Here is a 16,167-nt window from a genome sequence, read left to right as displayed (position 1 = left end):
TTGGAGCTCGTGGCATAACCACGATGTATAGACCCACCCATCACTGGGGGATGTACAGAACCCCCCATCGTGGCACAGCCAGGGATGGGGGGTGTACAGACCCCCCCATCGTGGCACAGCCAGGGGTGAGGGGTGTACAGACACCCCCATTGTGGCACAGCCAGGGGTGGGGTGTGTACAGACCCACCCATCACGGGATGCCACAGATGCCGAGACAGAGAGAATGGGTTGTGGGAGAGCTTGCAACTGCTTCACTCTGGGCCCAAGCCCTCTCTACACACTTGGCTGTGAACCCACCTGACCCACCCAGGGCCCCGGCCCTGCCCTGCCACCCTGCCTGAGCCCCGCGCTCAGCTCCATCTCTCCCAGTAGACATGTCGCTGCCTTTTGGCTCTGCCAGACCTATCAGCCTACACATCCCTCTTTCATCTTAAAAAACCTTCCAAACACTAAAGTAGATCCCTAGACCCATGTGCTCCTCTCCCTGCATGGCAAAGTGGCTCTCCAGCTTCTTCCCCACATCCTTGCTCAAACCTAACAGGATCCGATGGCTCCCTTGCCTGCTCCGTGAAACAACCAAAGGTGCCCTGTGCGATGGTCGGAGCTCTCTGCACAGGCCTCCTGCTACACCCATGTGCTCTCGGGGGATGAATGTAAACCCAGCTGCAGGCCGGGGGTGGGGACATGGCTTCCCTAGGACCCCAGCCCTGACACAGGACCTGGCCATTGCCTGGAACTGGAGAGCCGCAATGGTGCAGACCTGGTCCCTGCCTTCAGAGTAATTTGCCCAGGAGCAAGGAGGAGCTGGGCCTTGTGAGCCACCCGAGTGGCCACCAGTGTCACCTCTGGCTCCGACTGTCCCTTGAGCTCTTTCTGATGTGACCTGTCAGGGGCACCTTGCAGGCTCCCCCACCCACTCAATATAGGACTCCCTCGAGGAAGGCTCCCGGAGCCCCCACCCTCAGGGGAGAGGCTGGTGGAGACCTACAGGGGCCAAGCGTTTCCCTCCACACCCCACCTTCCTCCCAGGGCAGGCGCCTGTGGAGCCAACACACCGACCACCCCGGCCCCACTGTTGAGCCCTGGGAGGAGTGCTCTACAAGGCAGGAAGGGTAGACAGCAGGTGCTTCATAAAGGCCACGGAGATTCAACCTGCAGCTGACAAGTAGCACCCATCGGTGGCTTGGGACCTGAGCTTCCACTTAGCTTGGGATGAGGACAAACCAGCCTCACAGATGGGTTCAGGAGCAGTGACCAAGGTCCGAGGACACCTTCCCAGGGCACTCCCACTACCTGCCTCCACCCTGGGGTTTGAAGTTAAGTCCAGTCACGTGCACCTGAAATCCAGAGGTGGGCGTCATGGGTGTCCTATAAGGCGGCCTCCAGGTCCCCACGATCCCAGTGAAAGGCCACCCCGGATCATGGCCCTGACACGGTGCTTTGCTCTCCCGGAGCCTGGCGTCGCCAAAGGACCATGATTCATCCAGAGCAAACAGCAGTTTGCGCCAGAAGAGGGTTAACGAATGCCGGCTTTATTTATTTTCCTATCTGCAAATAACCCGGGAAGACAAACTGGTGGGGCAAGGAAGAGGGGGAAGATGTTCCCCATCAATGGGCACCGCTCACGTCACCCAGGCCGGAGCTGTTGTCTCGCGTGGTTGGAGGTGGGCTCACCCAGCCAGGCAGCCTGCAAATTATTCTCTGGAGCCTCCCGGGGACAGGACACCGCCTCCCACCTCACACACCTGTGCTGAGGGCTTCCTCCCAGTTGGGAGGGGTGTGCCTGCTCCTGGCTGGATTCTGTCCCCACCCCCGGGGATGTGGCAGTGTCAGGAGACATTCTTGGTTGTCACGGCGGGTGGCGTGACTGTCATCCCGGGGATGGAGGTCAGGATGCTGCTGAACTTCCCACAGCGCACAGGACAGGCTGCGGCCTCCCACATCCGCCAAGCCTGCCACCCTGCCCTGGTTCTAGGGCACCAGGACACGCGTCCCTGGCTCACGGCCAGCCCAGGAAGCAAAGAGGCAGGCACCACGCTGGGGTTTTACCAGTTTTATTTCTAGACTTTCATGTTTGTCTTTTTGTCTTCTGCTGGAAACATGCCGGTTACATGTTGGTGCTGGGAAGCGCCGCGGTGCAACCAGAAATGCACAGACCCAGCCGCCCGCCGCCCAGACCCTCAGACTTGCGCGTCACAGGACAGACTCCGCTGTGCCCCGTGCACTTGCCACCAGCCTTTGGCCTCTCGATACACACAACATCCAGGACTTGTGCCCTTGCCCCATCACGACAGACAAAGCGTCCCTCAAGGCCCCCGCGTGGTTCAGACAGACGCCGCAGCCAGGATGGTTGAGGTAAGCGTGAGCCGTGTTCTGGAGGGGTGGGGCGGGGTGGGCCTGTGCCCGAGATGGCCTCCGAGCACAGGATGACCCTGCCAGGGCAGGGCCCCAACCACGTGGGCCCGCAGCGGGGTGCAAATTCTTTTGGTTCGGCAGCTTGCTAGGTGACCGGGGCACACAGCACTGTGAGCTGGCTTCATTGAGATTTGGAGTCTCTTTAAATTAGCATTATGGTGTAATTAACAAAACAATAACAAACAGAACACTAGTACATAACAGATTAAACATACCCAAAACTTGAACAAATTCCAGAAGCTATTCCAATCATCCCGAATGAGAGTCCTACAGGTACAACGCCGTGGTGGCACGTAAGACACACTTGTTATAATAATAATAATAATAATTATGCAACTTCCATAGCTACACGCAAAGAATAACACAGCTGTAAAAACTACTATGATGCTACGCCCCCGATCAGATGAAGTGCCCAGCATCACAGGCGCAGGGAAGAGAAGAGGGACACAGCCTGGTCTCTGGGGACACCGGCGCGGTTCTCACGCACGCGGCCTCGGGGCCGGCCCCCGCCAGCCTGTGTGGGATCGCGCCCGCGTGTCTGCCCGCCAAAGCAGGCAGAACCTGCCCGCTGGGTCCACCATGGCTAAGTGAAGCATGAGGTATTGTGAAACAGCAACCTTTTTGGAATAGAGCAGTAATCACATTAAGTCAAAATTGATCACATAAAAAAAAAAAAAACTACAAAAAAGGCATCTGTAATACAATGTTCTAAGAGAAAACTAAAACTAGTACATGGCAGTATATGACATTGTAAAACAAAAAACTGATCCTCCAATAGCAGCAAACAATGTGAAAGAGATACACAGAAGCGATGTGAATATTTCCAAACCGTGCCTGGAAGTCAACGGTAGCAGCGCAATAAGAAAATGGAGCTGCGGCCTGTCCCCGGTGTGGGCACCGCCCCTTCCCCTCGGGAGCCTCCTCCTCACACCTCCTCCCGCCTGTCCTCCCTCACACGTCAGCCTCCACACTCTTGCCACCTCCCTTCAACACTTCCTAAATAAAAATTACAAGAATTACATAGCCAAGATGTGCAAATTGTCTATTTTGTCACTAAGTTTTTTAAAGGAAGGGGCAGGGGATAAGAATTCATCGGAACCGAACTTAGGTTGAGTACCCTAATTTTCCTTGCACCCATGCCTGTCCAATCAGATGACTCTGGGAAACGCCAAACAGGCTGAATCAATGTCTTTGTGTGGTTTTTTTCTTCCAGATTGTTTTTTTCTCACCTATAAAAGGATCTATCTTTAAAAATAAACTGTATTAAATCTGTAACATCAAAGGCAGAAGGTTTGTGTGTGTGTGTGTGTGTGTGTGTATCTGTGTGTTTAAATCAAGGGGAGATTGCATTTATAAATCATACTGGCCTTATGAACATCCTCTGCAATAAATATACTTTTTAGCCTTAACTATAAATTATATATTTTAGTGTTTAAAAACCTTCCGGTGTGAAACATCTAAGATAACCCTTAAAAACCACCTGTTCTCTAGGTAAACCTCTGAGGTCCCTACTTTCAAACACCAGTTGGCACCAAAGGATTCCTAAACTTCAACTTCTTTAAAGAAAAGGAAAGGAACTTATCATCCTGGCAATGTGAGAATGCAAACCTTTTTCTTCTTGACTGGCACGCAGCCTCCCAAACACCCCACCTCCACTGCCACCACAGTGGCCCACACTTGCCTCAAAGTCCTGCTTGCAAACAAGTACATGGATATTCCCAAACCATTCCATTAGAAAACTGCCCTCCCTGCACACACAACAAAAACAGCGCTATTTCCTACACCTATTGGACTGAAAGTGCTTGGAAATGGAATGGTTTTAGAATATGAAGAAGAACACAAACCAAGTAGCTGTGGGTTGAACCTGGACGTGAGCTGGCTGCAGGGCCGTTGGGTAGAAAACCAGCATCTCATAAACAGGTCACTACAAAAATAGGAAGAGTATAAAAATAGAATATATTATGTCACTATTTCGTCTTCTCTTTATAGTAGCGTATCGTAGGAGTGGGACAGGTGGCCTTTCCCGACCCTGCTACGCTGGCTGGTGCCCGACAAACCTCCACTGGATGGTTTGTCACTGGATGGTTTGTTGGGGTGGTGGTCACAGGCGCAAAGGACATGCACACGGGCACGCTACGCTACTGTAACCAAGAGGTGACTTCAGCCATGAATAAGGTGAAGAGGTTACACATCTACCTACGGAATATAATAACATACAATGACTTATAAAGTGACTACATGCATATGAGCAAGCAAAGTACAGAGATGCCTAGAACCCCACTACAGCTGTGCTTTATCAGGAAAAGCACAAGAATATGTTTTTCTACCTAAAACCCTCTTCTACTTTAAAAATGGTTTGCTGAATTTTTCTATGTTTTTAAAATGTTTTTATGCTTTTTTTTAAACACGTAAAGGATGGAACCTAATCCTCTCCCGAGACGCCTCCTTTGTGTTAATGCCTATTCTTACAACAGAGAAACAAGTACATTAATATAAAAACGAGTTGATTATTGGGGTATAAAATCCTCTATCATCTGTAGCACAACCCTCCTCCCCCACCGCTCAGGGTTATGCAAATACTATTTTTTTTTTCTCTCTCTCTCTTTTAAAGACAGTTTTTGGGTAATCTTTTTCTTTTGCTTAAGTCAGAGATGGAAGGGGGAAAGAGCAAAGGAAAAAACAACCAACAACAAGGAGAATGAAGCTTTCCCTTCTGGTATCAAAATGCTCCGGAGAGGAGGGACTGTCAGGGGAGCACCTGGGGCCGGCTCCGCCCTCGCTGCGGGTGGCGGTGGCGCCCGCCTGCCTGGCGCCCTCAGATGTCCACGTCCCGCACGTCGGTGGGTGTGCAAGCCAGGTCCACCTCCTCCTCCTCCTCTTCCTCCTCCTCGGCGGCCTTGGGGTCCATGTTCTGCTGGGCCTGGCGCAGGCTTGACTCCAGCAGGGCTTCGATCTGCTCCTGGCAGGCCCGGAGGCAGTCCTGAGAGAGAGAGGGTGGGGAGAGGTGGGAAGAGGGGGTCCTTAGAAGGGGCCTGCAGCGAGGGCCCCTTCCCAGGTGCCATGACCCGGAAGCCTTTATAAGAGCAAGACTAAGCCAAAAACTGTCCCTCGGCCCATGCTGCCTCCTCTGAACCTGAGCGAGATGTGGGAGCTGCCATCACCTGTCAGGACACTCAGGACCAAATGCCTCCACCTCCCACCTGGTCTCTGGAGCCACAAGACACCAGATGCTTGCCCGCCCACCCTGCACACCCCCTGCCCGTCCCCATGTCCAACAGCGCCTTCACCGCCTGTTCCCACTGGCCGTGCCAGCTCCCTGGGGAATTCAGTGCCATCTGATCTGGACAGGAGGCCCTTTGAACCCTGCCTTTTCAGCCTTTTCAGACTTAACCTCTCCATGTGGCAGCCCTTGAGGTGAACCTGGCCTTCCATGATCAATGGCTGTCGAAGCCTTGGGCCGTGCATGACTGAGGATGAATGCTGGGTGGCCAGGGGGACCTGGACCATTGATCCCTCCCCTCCATCCTCTCCCGCTCAGGCCTGTGCCCCGGGGCCAGCCATCAGCCTGGCACAGCATGCATCCACCCACTGCGGCCACTGAGGTGCTCGCCCTCGGGTGGAGTGCGACGGACGCTCCTGGAAGTCCTGCACCTCCACCCTCTGGGGCTCCAGACTCCCTTGGCAGCGTCCACACCACACTGTCAGTGGGAAAGAGCAGCCGTGAAATCTGGAACGCCACGCCCAGCCAGGGGCCTCTCCTAGGCTCCACCACGGGCAAGTCCCACGCAGCCTGAAGTGGCTGCTTACTGCCCGGGGGCTTCTGGATGGAGAACCGGCTCCATGTGTTGGGGCTGTGTGTGTCCCAACTGCCAGGAAGCCACGCTAGGGCTTCAAGCCAAGTCTCTAGGCAGCCCAGGAAACAGACCTTCCACAAGGAGCAGGGCTGGGCCACAGCCCCACCACGTGCCGCACAGGTGCCACTTAACTCCCAACCAGAAGGGGCTGGACAAAGGCATAGCACGACAGGCGATGACCCAGGCCAGAACGACTTTTAGGTGGACCACTGAGGTCACGACATTTTAGCGCCTGTACCTTTATAGGGAGGGCTTTCCTCTCCCGCCCCTCAGATAAATTCTCATCATGGCAAATGAAGCTGGCCGGGCTGGCTGCACAAACAGTCCCACTGTACAGATGGGGAAACTGAGGCCAGAGGCCTGGGGTGAGATACAAGACTCCTGACGTTCAACCTAAAACACCAGCCAGCTTCAATTCTCAGCCCCAGGGGCCTGGCAGCTCCATCCAGGGATTCTTCACCTGCGGCCCGTCCCTCGCCCATGACCCACTCCAGGGTCACACATGCAGCTAGACTCCAGGACCTTCCTTCATTCCTCTGGCCCCACAGCTGCCTGCAAGGCTACCCCGGTGGACAAAGCTGTTCTCCCACAGCCAGAAGCTCCAAAAAGGCAGCACGCTCCTCCGCGAAAAGTCACTGGTGTGTGGCACTGCGCACCCGATTTGCACAGATGGACATTCCACCCACCAAAGAAAATTCTAGAACACGCCCTAGAAAATGCAGGGGCCTCTGCTGTGGACGGTTTTTCTGAGTCTGGGCTCAGCTACGTTGGTCACTAGCTGATCAGGCAGAGTGGACTCCGCCTCGGGTAACTTCACCCCGTGTGTCTGTCAGCTGTGAGACGTGTGCCTCCAATCTAGTTAAGATGGTCTCTACTCAAATAAGGGCCAGCGCCCAACTTCCCACAACTGCCCGAAGACAGCAACATCCCAGGGCAGTCACCCCTGGCGGGGAAGCGGTTTTCACTCAGGGCGTGGAGTTCGAAATGAAAAGTGCAGACGCGAGTTTCATTTTGATGGAGGGGCTTTCTCTTTGCTGGGCTTCTGGAGGCCTCGATGGTGTTTCTGAGCCATTTTCCTGAGAGAGCTGCGGGCTGCTGGCCTCCACCCTACAGCGGGTGAGGACACCTCACCACCCCCAAAGGATAACACGGGGCAGGGTGCAAGGGAGGCCATGGCCGAGAACACAGAAGGGAGGCCCCTGCCAACTTCGGTGTCCCACGGCAAAAAAGCTTCTTCCTCTTCCGAGACACACATGGGCTGGGCAGCCGCTACTCCCAGTGTCCCCGGGACAGAGGCACCACTAGGCAGGGGACAGGCAGGTGGACCCTAGATAGCATCTGCTGAGACCCGTGCGGAGTCCCCGGGAGGCTCGAGGGCAGACCACCAAGAGGCGGCCCAGGCCAGAGCCAAAACGGGTCTTGCAGGCCCACCCAGCCCCAAGCTGGGGTCAGGCGGTCACTCCCTCACACACCGCGGGGCCGGCGGCTGACCCGGCCACCTCTCTGGTCTAATTTGGTAAATGCCACAAACCCTTTTGATTGTCATTTTAATTCTTTCTTTAAGAAAAGACTCGGGAATAAAACAATGGCATTTTTAAGAAGAAAGACACAGTCATCCCAGGGTTTAACAGCAGCAGCCTCTCAAAGAGGCCGTAAACAACAAGGCTGTCTCTATCCGCCCGTTGTCCGGTGTCTCGGACCTCACAGGAGCCCTTTTCAAGCATCTATTTATTGGCCACGCACATTGTGGCCCAAACAAAGCTCGCCTGGGCCTAACCCCACACACCATCACCACACAGACCATTGGCTGGGGCCGCCTGGGGCCTCCGTCCCGGACGCTTCGCCCAGAAACTCTACGGCTCCTGGAAGCCCCAGGGGACGTGAGAAGGCTGTGAGGACCTCCCAGCCAGTCAGTAAGTTCTAGGAGCAGTGGAAGAAGCCGGTGCCCTGTCAGTCTGTGGCCTGGGGTCCGAGGGGCCCAGCCCCAGCCCCAACCTTGTCACCCTTGGGGGCCTTGGCACCAGCCTCGGCATTTCCGTGGCACTAGGTGTCTCCCCCTGTAAGCCCCGGCAAGGCTGCCTGGGACATCACCCTCACTTACCGGGTCACACTTGATCACTCTGGAGAGGAAGCGTGTGAGGCGGTAGTAGGACAGGAAGTTGTTGGGGCTCCTCAGGTTCAGGCCTTGCACTGCGGCCACCACGCTCCCCGCTGCCACCATGGAGGGCGGATTGGAAATGAACTTCACATCTGAGGCAGAAGGAGAGAGGGAAGGAGGCTGTGAGCAGGGGACCCTCTCAGGGCCCCCGTGATCCGGGCATCCCTGTGTGCTGGCTCTGAGCAAGCGGCCCGGCCTGAAGGGAAGCACTCGGTATCTGAGGCTCCACATCCAGGCCCTCCTCAGCCTCCAGCCATCCCTGGGCACTCGGAGAGCAAGAGCCTGGCCCACGGACCCTCCTGGAACGTCAGCCCCACTGTTGACTCAAACATAACCAAGGAAAGAGAAAGCCACGGGAAGACACAGGACAGGTGATGGGGACATCACTGCCTTCTCATCCTTTTAGCATCTTGAGCCTTGTGAATGTTATCACGTATTCACAAAAACAAAATTAGATGACGCAAATATGAGGACGTAGAGATGTCGCTTCTATGACCCTAACCCTCACCCCAAGTACCTGCCACCCCCCAGCAGCAGGGATTGCAGACAAGTCATATTCTGAAGGGACATCGCATGGCTGAAGCCTAGGCCTCCACCCGGGCCAGGCCACGGGGCTGCAGGGTACTGATGAAGCCATTCCGTGTCCCTTGAGGGGTAAGCCCTGGCCGGCAGCCTTCAGGGCGGCTGTGGTGTGGCTGCGGCTCAGGCCCTGGCGCCAGGAGAGCCCGGCTTGGCTCACTCGGGAAGGAAGAGCTCTTCCAGCAACCCATGCCCCTTACCATGGGACCATGACTGTCACAGTGACCTTCAGAGCACAGACCAAGTACACCCCAACTCCACCCGGGCCCTCTACTCACAACTCTCCTATTTCTGGCCGATGACAAAAACACTTTTCTGGGCCGTCTGATGTAGCCCAACAATTCCAGTGACTTCCCAAGTAAGGGAAGAGGTGTGGGGTTCCTAGCACCAGTCACCATGGGACACCCCTGGAGGACTGGGCCGGGAGCCGGGCCCCAGGAGGGAGCAGCTTTCCCAAGAGGGCACCAGTGCCCTCACCTGGGGCTTCCTGGGGACTGTCCCGCACATCTGGGCCCACTTCCAAGAGGGACACCAATCTAGGGCGGCCCATCAGCCTTTGTGGTCTGCACAAAACTCCCTCTGGTCACTGCCAGATACTGGGCTCATCCGCCTGCCAGGCTGCAGTAGTGGGCGTCTCGGGGCCTCTGTGACTGACCTCCTAGACAAACAGCAGACTGGCTCTTTCCACAGAGAGCCCTGCCACCAATTACGTCCTGGTTTGTGGCGGGGAATGCCGGCCTCCCCTCCTCAGGGCAGTCATGCGCCTACCGTGGACAGGTGGGCCAGTGTGGGATGTGCCTCTTGGCCTGGCCCCCACCCCAGCGGAGCCTGGGGGCAGCCTTTTGTCACACCCACGAGGAATTCTGCACAGGAACCAGGGGCCCTGGGCTGGGAGCCGGACGTCGGCAGGGATGAGTGTGGCATCTTTGTCGGCCCCATCGCCTCATCTCGCGCCACTGAGCGCCCGGGAACAAGGGGGGTCGGGGGAGCTGAATGGGAGCCGACCCAGGCACAAAGGGAGAGGGGCCCCCACGGGCCGCCAGGGGTGTGGCGGCCCATCCGAGACTTCATCCCGAGAGAATAAACAACTTCGGCCTTGTTAAAGAGAGGGCCGCCGGCGAGGGGCCGGGAAGAAAGGCAGCCACCCTGAAGGGGAGACAAAGCCGGCTGCTGGGCGCCGTAACAACTTAGAAAAAGAAATCCTTAACGAGCCGAGCCACCTCTTTTCCCCTTTAAATGGGAGCAGTTCCACCCAGTCTGAGAGCCGGGAGCCATGAATGAAAACCTTCTCATTGAGGCAAATCAGAACCGCACACAGAAACCGCTTCTGCAGGGAGCGACAGGTTCTAGCTGGCTCCGCACCTTGTGCACCCCCCCGTCTCCAGGGGCACACACAGCGTGGAGTCACTGGGGCCACGTTGTTTCAGAAGCTCGTGCCCCCACCCCAGTGTGTGGTGCTGTCTGTGCTTAGATTAGGAGCCACCCAGAATTAGACACCAAAGCTCCAGGATTTGACCCTATCCGCTGCCTGGTTGTAAAGGGAAGTGACAGCTGTCCCGGAAGCTCCTTGGCACTGGACGTTCCTCACCTGGCCTCCCACGGAGCCAAGGGCGCACCTGCCCTGAAACCCCCATGCGTGAGTGTATGCAGCATGTGCACACCTGCTGGGGACCTGGGGCCAGGAATGCCTAGTGCAGGGAGAACACCCAGCATCACCTTTAAATGTAACCTTTGCCACGTGGAGGGCAAAAACACCTTCCTAGACTCTTTCCCACGCCTCCACCTCCTTCAACCTGTTTCTGACTTTAAGCAGCCGTAAGTCACTCTTGTCTCCACAGATGTCCAGCAGGAACAAGGCACTGGCTGCTCAGTTACGTTCCATGGGGTGGCCACGGGTCAGGACCCGGAGCACTTTGCAGGGGTGGGTCCCCTGGTCTCCTGCCCCTCCCTCGGGACCCACCCTGGAGTGGACTCCACAGTCACTGAGAGCACGTGCACAGCTGGGTCCCCAAGTGTCCCTCCTCCTTCACCCACCGCTGGGGGCGCCTTCGCAGACAAAGGGTGTGCAGTAGTGGGAAGGACGAGAATCTGCACCTGCCCACTGCCTCCCACTAGCACCCAGGGGTCCTGGGAGGGGAGCTCCACTGCTGGAGCCACCCTGTAGGGAGGCTGTGCAAGAACCACGCCCCACGTTCTCTCCAGGAAACTTTGCATTTCTCTGAAGCCACTTTCAGCTCCATAAAAGGCTGTCTGGAGTCTCCGGAGGCCTCTCTCCTCTGAGGAGCACCAGCCAGAGAATGCCTCCCTGTCTGCCGCATGCCCCCCCACCCCAGACCCATCCAGACTGGTCGACATCCTTGGCATCTTCATCTGCCCACCTTGGGGACTCGCTTGGAAACGTGGGGGAGGGGTTCATGCCCCAAGCAGGTGGAGGAGGTGGGGGAGGCCTCACGCCTAAACCAGAACCCATTCTGGAATACCGGCTGCGGGCTACCGGTGTCAGAAGGGAGCTCTGAAGTAGGCTTGGGGGGCTCTGCCCTCTGGGGAGGGGAGAAGATGCTACTGCCTCTTTGATGCCCCGTGGGCCTTGTGGCCTAGGTCACCCAGAGTGAGCCCCCAAACAGATGTGACAACTGAGGCTTGACCAAAGGTGGGCCACAGCAGAGCTGGGTGGGATGGGGCCATGCTCCCCCATGAAGGTAACCAGGCCTCCTGGGCCAGGGAAGGAGGCGGTCACAGGGGGGTCAGAGGCAGGGCTGGGGACAGCAGGAGGCGGCACCCTGTGTATGTGCGAGTCTGTCCCCACTGGGTTCTGGGGCCAAGGCCATGTCAGGGAGGGGCCTCTGGGGCCATGCCAGGGGAAGTGAGGACTGGGTGCTTCTGCTGCCCACGGTGGCGGCCCAAGCTGAGAGTGCTCTGAAGCGCCCCCTCAGGGCTCAGCTGAGCCCGGCTGGCTGCCGGCACCCCTGGCAGGGCCTCAGGCAGCCGAGCTCCTCTGCTGGACACCCCTGCACTCGGCTGCCCAGAGCACGTGGTGCAGGCAGGCCGACAGCTCTCCCCGCCCCTGGAGGCGCCTCTGGCAGGTGGCCCAGCCTGGGAGAGGCCAGGAGGGGGCCTCTGCAGCTCAGGCTCCTTAAGGACACAAGAAGGGCTGGAGGTGGGTGGAGAAAGGAGGCGGCCCTGTGGCCAAGGTAAACCCCTTTCAGCATGGAGTGGCCACAGGCTGCCTGGCCTGAAGGACGAGGCCAGAGTAACGGGACACAGGCAGGCTGAGCCGTCCACACCAATGCCCAAGGTACTGCATGGTGGCCGTGAGGGAGCAAATCTCCCTCCATCCAGCGCGACAAACAATCCAGGGCCTCTGCTCACCAGAGCTGGAAGAGCGCTCTCCAGCGCAGGAGGGGGTCTGGGGACATCTTCCCAGACAGCACCCAGGTGGAGAGCAAGAAGCCGGCCAGGGTCACCTAAGGAGCCGGCTCTCAAGGGGAGGCCGGGGGCTGCCGGGCCTGCCCTACCTGTGGCACAGAGGGCAACGAAGGTCTGCGCGTGTTTGCGGATGATCTGTTTGTTCTCCTCCGCCTCTGGCATTTTGGAGAGGAAGTGTTCAATGAAATCGTGCGGGGTCATTGCGGCCAGGTTCCACTTGAGCTTGTTCACCAGGAGCAGCTCCATTTGCTGCGAACACAGGGTGAGCGGCCATCAGGGGAGGTGCGGGCCAGCCCGGGGGCGCGGGGAAGCCGGCAGCACGGGGGCCGGGCCACGCCGCACCTCCGGCTCAGAGCACTGGCCCCTGCGTCTCGTGCGGTCCTGGATGTTGGAGGGGAGGGCTGGCGAATGCTGGGGACTCAAGGGAGCTGGGGCAACACGCAATCCCAGATCAAAACAGAAAAGGCGCCCGCCGCGTGAAAAGACTCTGCAAGTGGAAACAAAAAGACCTCCCACCACCTGGAACTGGAGGCTCAGCGCCGAGCGCGGCGCTCCTCGTGCAGCCGCTGGAGGGCGCGCGCCGCCCACTTTTCGGCCACACCGCGGGGCGCGAACGCGGTGGGAGTCGCAGGCAAGCGCACACAGGGCGGCGGGACGAGGGCGGCTAGGATCCCGCCCGCTCCCCGGACAGGGACGCCCGGCGGCGGGGCCGCCCTCCCTCGGAGGAGCAGATATGTCAGAGGCGGGCCGGCCGCCACCGCCTGCACCTTCCCCGGCCCCGTGGTCCTGCGTGCGGCTCGCGGGGGGCGGGGGGCGGCGGGGTCCAGTGGTTACCAGCAGCTCCTCGGGCCGGATGGAGTTGTCGGTGTAGATGCACAGCTTCTCGGCCGTCAGGGGGATGGTCTCCTTCATCTTAGAGGCCACGAACATGCAAGTGGCCCCCAGCAGCTGCAGGCGGCTCTTTTTCACGGGCTCCAGCGACAGGAAGCGGTCCAGGTAGTTCATGGCCAGCGGGAAGACCTCCTCCTCGCACTTCTGTTCCTCGCAGACCTACGGAGGCACGGGGCCCGTGACCGCCGCCGCCAGGTCGCGCCGCCCCCCCGCACGCCCCCGCACCCCCCATCGCGCTTGGCAGGGCCGCCAGGTCTGGAGGGCGCCGAGGGGTCGGGGCTGGGGGCGGCAGGAGCTTCCCGTGATGCGCCCCCTCCCCCGCGCGTCCCCAGTACCCACCCTCCCCGAAACTGAAAGGGAAAGTCCCCGCGAGGCTGGCACGGTGGGGGCGGGAGCGGGCACAGCTGGGCGGCGTGCGCGGCGGCGCGGGCTGCCGGCCCCCGGGACCCTGGCCCGCCCTGGAGCTCCGTGGTCCCTCTGACTGGGGGTCGACACCAACTGGGGTGCGGGGCCGCGGAACGGGCCGCGGGGTTGGGCGCCGCGCCTGCGAGACACAAAGGTGGCGTCCCAGGCCGCCGCGCCGCATTTCCCCAGACGTCATCTTTTCAAAAAATATTTAAAAATATTAAAAAAATAACTAAGTGCATAAAAAAACCCTGAAAATGACCCTCGGGCGACCCTTTACCCAGGCCGGGGGTTGGGAGTTCGTTACAGGCTCCGGGGGGAGCCCCAGGAATTCAAACTCCGGGGCCCCCCCTTCCCCCTGGGCGCGGGCGGCGTTTCCCTCTCGCAAGGGCACCACGCCGCACTTTCAAAAATTATTTTAAAATACTTGCGGGCCCCTCAGGCGCCCACCGAAGGTCTGAAAATGTGCTCCCAGGCCCCCGGCTCGCTCGGAGAAGGTCCTCCAAGCCGATATCCCTGCAGACGGGGATCAAGCCCTGGCGTCTTGGGGGCCACGCGACCTTGCAGCTCGCCGTGCTCTCCGGCCCAGGCTGCCCGTTCGGGGCGCCCCGGGACTCGCTGCTTGAACAAAGGCCCCCCCTTCCCTAGCGGCGTCCCCCCAAAACTACCCATGCCGCGTCCCTGCGCCCCTCCCGCGGGCTCCCGGCAGCCGCGCGGCCCTTAGCTGCGGCCCCAGCGCCCGGCGGCCGCTCCCCGCCCCCACCCTGCCCCCAATTATTAATAAACACTTTTGCTTTGCAATAAAAGAGCAAAGATGGCGCATAATACTGGCACGAGCGGCCCTTGCATACGTGTCCATGGATATTAATTTAAAAATCAAATCTATGCCCCCTCCCCCCGGAGTTGGCGGCTCCCGGCCGCTGAGGCGCAGCCGGGCTGGGGCGCAGGCGGGGGACACAAAGCGCACCCAGCCTGCCAGCCCGCACCCTCGGGCCCATTGGGGTGCCCCTGGCACTGGCTTCTCCCGAAGGCACCCCTCCCGGACCCCCTTCTCCCCTCCCACGAAACGCTACTTCTAGCACCCCCACCCCCACCCCTTCCTCCTTCAGAAAATACCCGCAATTTTTATTTTGAAAATACGGATCCCTAGAAACACCACGGCAAACTTCAAAGTTCTAGCGGGAGAGAAGGGAGGGGGGTGAGTAGCAAAGAAACGTGGGTCTGGGCAACAAGTTGCAGGGAAGTCTTAAGAGAGCCGCCCGAAGCCCCGCACCTCCAGCATCCAGGTGGCGACGATCTTCCGCATGGACGGCAGGACCTCCTTCTGCACACATTTGAAGTAGGACACCGAGGGCGCGCAGGTCTCCTCCGCCTTCAGCATGGCCCGCAGCACCCGGTCGTTGAGGAGGTTGGCATCGGGGTACGCGCGGCGGATGGTTTCCACTTCGCAGCACAGGAGCTGGTGTTCCATGGCTGGGGCTCTTCCTGGGCAGCTGGGGAGGGCTGTGGGTCCTGGCTGGGTCCGCGCTCGGCTCTCGCTTCTGCTGCCCCGCGCTCCCTCGCGCTCTTCTGCCCCTCGCCGGAGCGTGCGGACTCTGCTGCTCGCTGCTACTGCGCCGACAGCCCTCTGGAGGCTCCAGGACTTTGCAACTTCAACAAAACTCCCCTGTAGTCCGTGTGACGTTACTGTTGTTAAGCAAAGATCAAAGCCCGGCAGAGAATGGGAGCGGGAGGGGGGCGGGGGCGGGCGCAGGGGGAGGGGGCGCGGGCGCCAAACGCCGGGAGCAGCGAGGGGCAGAGCCCAAAAGCCATCCCTGAGGCGCCGCGCCTGCCCTGCGGCGGAGTTGCCCCTGTAGTCCGGTTTTCATAGAAATGCAAATCGCCCCGCTGCAGCCTTTCTCCCCGCCAGGGAAGAGGGGTGCAGGGGGCCCCGTCCGCCTCGAGTGGGTCCCCCGGGATTTAGGGGGTGAGGTGGAGGTGGCTCTGCAGTAGGGGACAACTAGGAAGGCCGGCAGGCCACACGCAGCCTGGGGAGACCACGAGAAGGGGTGACTGGGGCGCGGCGACACCCCATATCCAAGCCGGCAGAATGGGCGCATTTCCAAGAACGCCACGAGGGCACCCACGGGCGGACAGACGGCCAAAGAATCTCAGCGACTGCATCTTCTTTCATTTTCATTAACACGTGTAAATTGCAAGAACTAATTTAGCATGCAAGGACGGGGAGGACCGGGCACACAACCCCTGTGCAAGTTTCATTCCGGCGCACAGGGGCGTCGTTGCAAATGCCCAAGGGGGTAACCCTAAAAGTTAAAGGGATTTCAGCTTAGCATGCGCTCGCTCAAAAAATAAAATAAAATAAATGCCCGAAAATTCCAGCAGCAGCCCAAGATGGTGGCCAGCATTTCCTTCATCTTGTCCTTCTAGCCTGGAGACTCT

The 16,167-nt window shown here is 58.9% G+C and overlaps 1 protein-coding gene across 1 annotated transcript, besides 8 other annotated features; it reads right to left on the bottom strand.

Moving 5' to 3' along the window:
- Positions 646 to 1,583: an enhancer, noted in NCBI's record as "H3K4me1 hESC enhancer chr11:69469698-69470635 (GRCh37/hg19 assembly coordinates)". NCBI's record gives its function as "activates a minimal SCP1, AML or CMV promoter by ChIP-STARR-seq in primed H9 embryonic stem cells {active_cell/tissue: H9 hESC(primed)}" and the evidence as "EXISTENCE:reporter gene assay evidence [ECO:0000049][PMID:30033119]".
- Positions 2,039 to 15,357, bottom strand: CCND1 (cyclin D1). The gene is made up of 5 exons (NM_053056.3): positions 15,002 to 15,357; positions 13,267 to 13,482; positions 12,522 to 12,681; positions 8,371 to 8,519; positions 2,039 to 5,395 (listed from the first exon to the last, which is right to left on the bottom strand). Exons 1-5 carry the CDS (start codon positions 15,197 to 15,199, stop codon positions 5,231 to 5,233), a joined length of 888 nt encoding a protein of 295 aa, NP_444284.1. The 5' UTR covers positions 15,200 to 15,357; the 3' UTR covers positions 2,039 to 5,230.
- Positions 6,913 to 7,656: an enhancer, noted in NCBI's record as "H3K4me1 hESC enhancer chr11:69463625-69464368 (GRCh37/hg19 assembly coordinates)". NCBI's record gives its function as "activates a minimal SCP1, AML or CMV promoter by ChIP-STARR-seq in naive H9 embryonic stem cells {active_cell/tissue: H9 hESC(naive)}" and the evidence as "EXISTENCE:reporter gene assay evidence [ECO:0000049][PMID:30033119]".
- Positions 8,401 to 9,144: an enhancer, noted in NCBI's record as "H3K4me1 hESC enhancer chr11:69462137-69462880 (GRCh37/hg19 assembly coordinates)". NCBI's record gives its function as "activates a minimal SCP1, AML or CMV promoter by ChIP-STARR-seq in primed H9 embryonic stem cells {active_cell/tissue: H9 hESC(primed)}" and the evidence as "EXISTENCE:reporter gene assay evidence [ECO:0000049][PMID:30033119]".
- Positions 12,121 to 12,865: an enhancer, noted in NCBI's record as "H3K27ac-H3K4me1 hESC enhancer chr11:69458416-69459160 (GRCh37/hg19 assembly coordinates)". NCBI's record gives its function as "activates a minimal SCP1, AML or CMV promoter by ChIP-STARR-seq in naive H9 embryonic stem cells {active_cell/tissue: H9 hESC(naive)}" and the evidence as "EXISTENCE:reporter gene assay evidence [ECO:0000049][PMID:30033119]".
- Positions 13,082 to 13,341: a silencer, noted in NCBI's record as "silent region_3696". NCBI's record gives its function as "represses an Ori minimal core promoter by ATAC-STARR-seq in GM12878 lymphoblastoid cells {active_cell/tissue: GM12878}" and the evidence as "EXISTENCE:reporter gene assay evidence [ECO:0000049][PMID:35858748]".
- Positions 13,472 to 13,531: a silencer, noted in NCBI's record as "silent region_3695". NCBI's record gives its function as "represses an Ori minimal core promoter by ATAC-STARR-seq in GM12878 lymphoblastoid cells {active_cell/tissue: GM12878}" and the evidence as "EXISTENCE:reporter gene assay evidence [ECO:0000049][PMID:35858748]".
- Positions 13,622 to 13,761: a silencer, noted in NCBI's record as "silent region_3694". NCBI's record gives its function as "represses an Ori minimal core promoter by ATAC-STARR-seq in GM12878 lymphoblastoid cells {active_cell/tissue: GM12878}" and the evidence as "EXISTENCE:reporter gene assay evidence [ECO:0000049][PMID:35858748]".
- Positions 14,384 to 15,086: an enhancer, noted in NCBI's record as "H3K27ac hESC enhancer chr11:69456195-69456897 (GRCh37/hg19 assembly coordinates)". NCBI's record gives its function as "activates a minimal SCP1, AML or CMV promoter by ChIP-STARR-seq in naive H9 embryonic stem cells {active_cell/tissue: H9 hESC(naive)}" and the evidence as "EXISTENCE:reporter gene assay evidence [ECO:0000049][PMID:30033119]".

Source organism: Homo sapiens, chromosome 11 (genome assembly GCF_000001405.40).
Source record: "Homo sapiens chromosome 11, GRCh38.p14 Primary Assembly".
Lineage (NCBI taxonomy): Eukaryota > Metazoa > Chordata > Mammalia > Primates > Hominidae > Homo > Homo sapiens.
The sequence above is the reverse complement of the archived record's forward strand: the minus strand, read 5'-3'. Positions and strand labels throughout refer to the sequence as shown.

What these genes read in the sequence shown, in the direction of transcription:
- CCND1 (NM_053056.3), bottom strand. Translation starts at nt 15,199, where the DNA reads ATGGAACACCAGCTCCTGTGCTGCGAAGTGGAAACCATCCGCCGCGCG. An exon ending in TCGCCACCTGGATGCTGGAG is followed by an intron (nt 13,483 to 15,001) that starts GTGCGGGGCTTC and finishes GTGCCTCCGTAG; the next exon opens with GTCTGCGAGGAACAGAAGTG. An exon ending in TCCGGCCCGAGGAGCTGCTG is followed by an intron (nt 12,682 to 13,266) that starts GTAACCACTGGA and finishes CTGTGTTCGCAG; the next exon opens with CAAATGGAGCTGCTCCTGGT.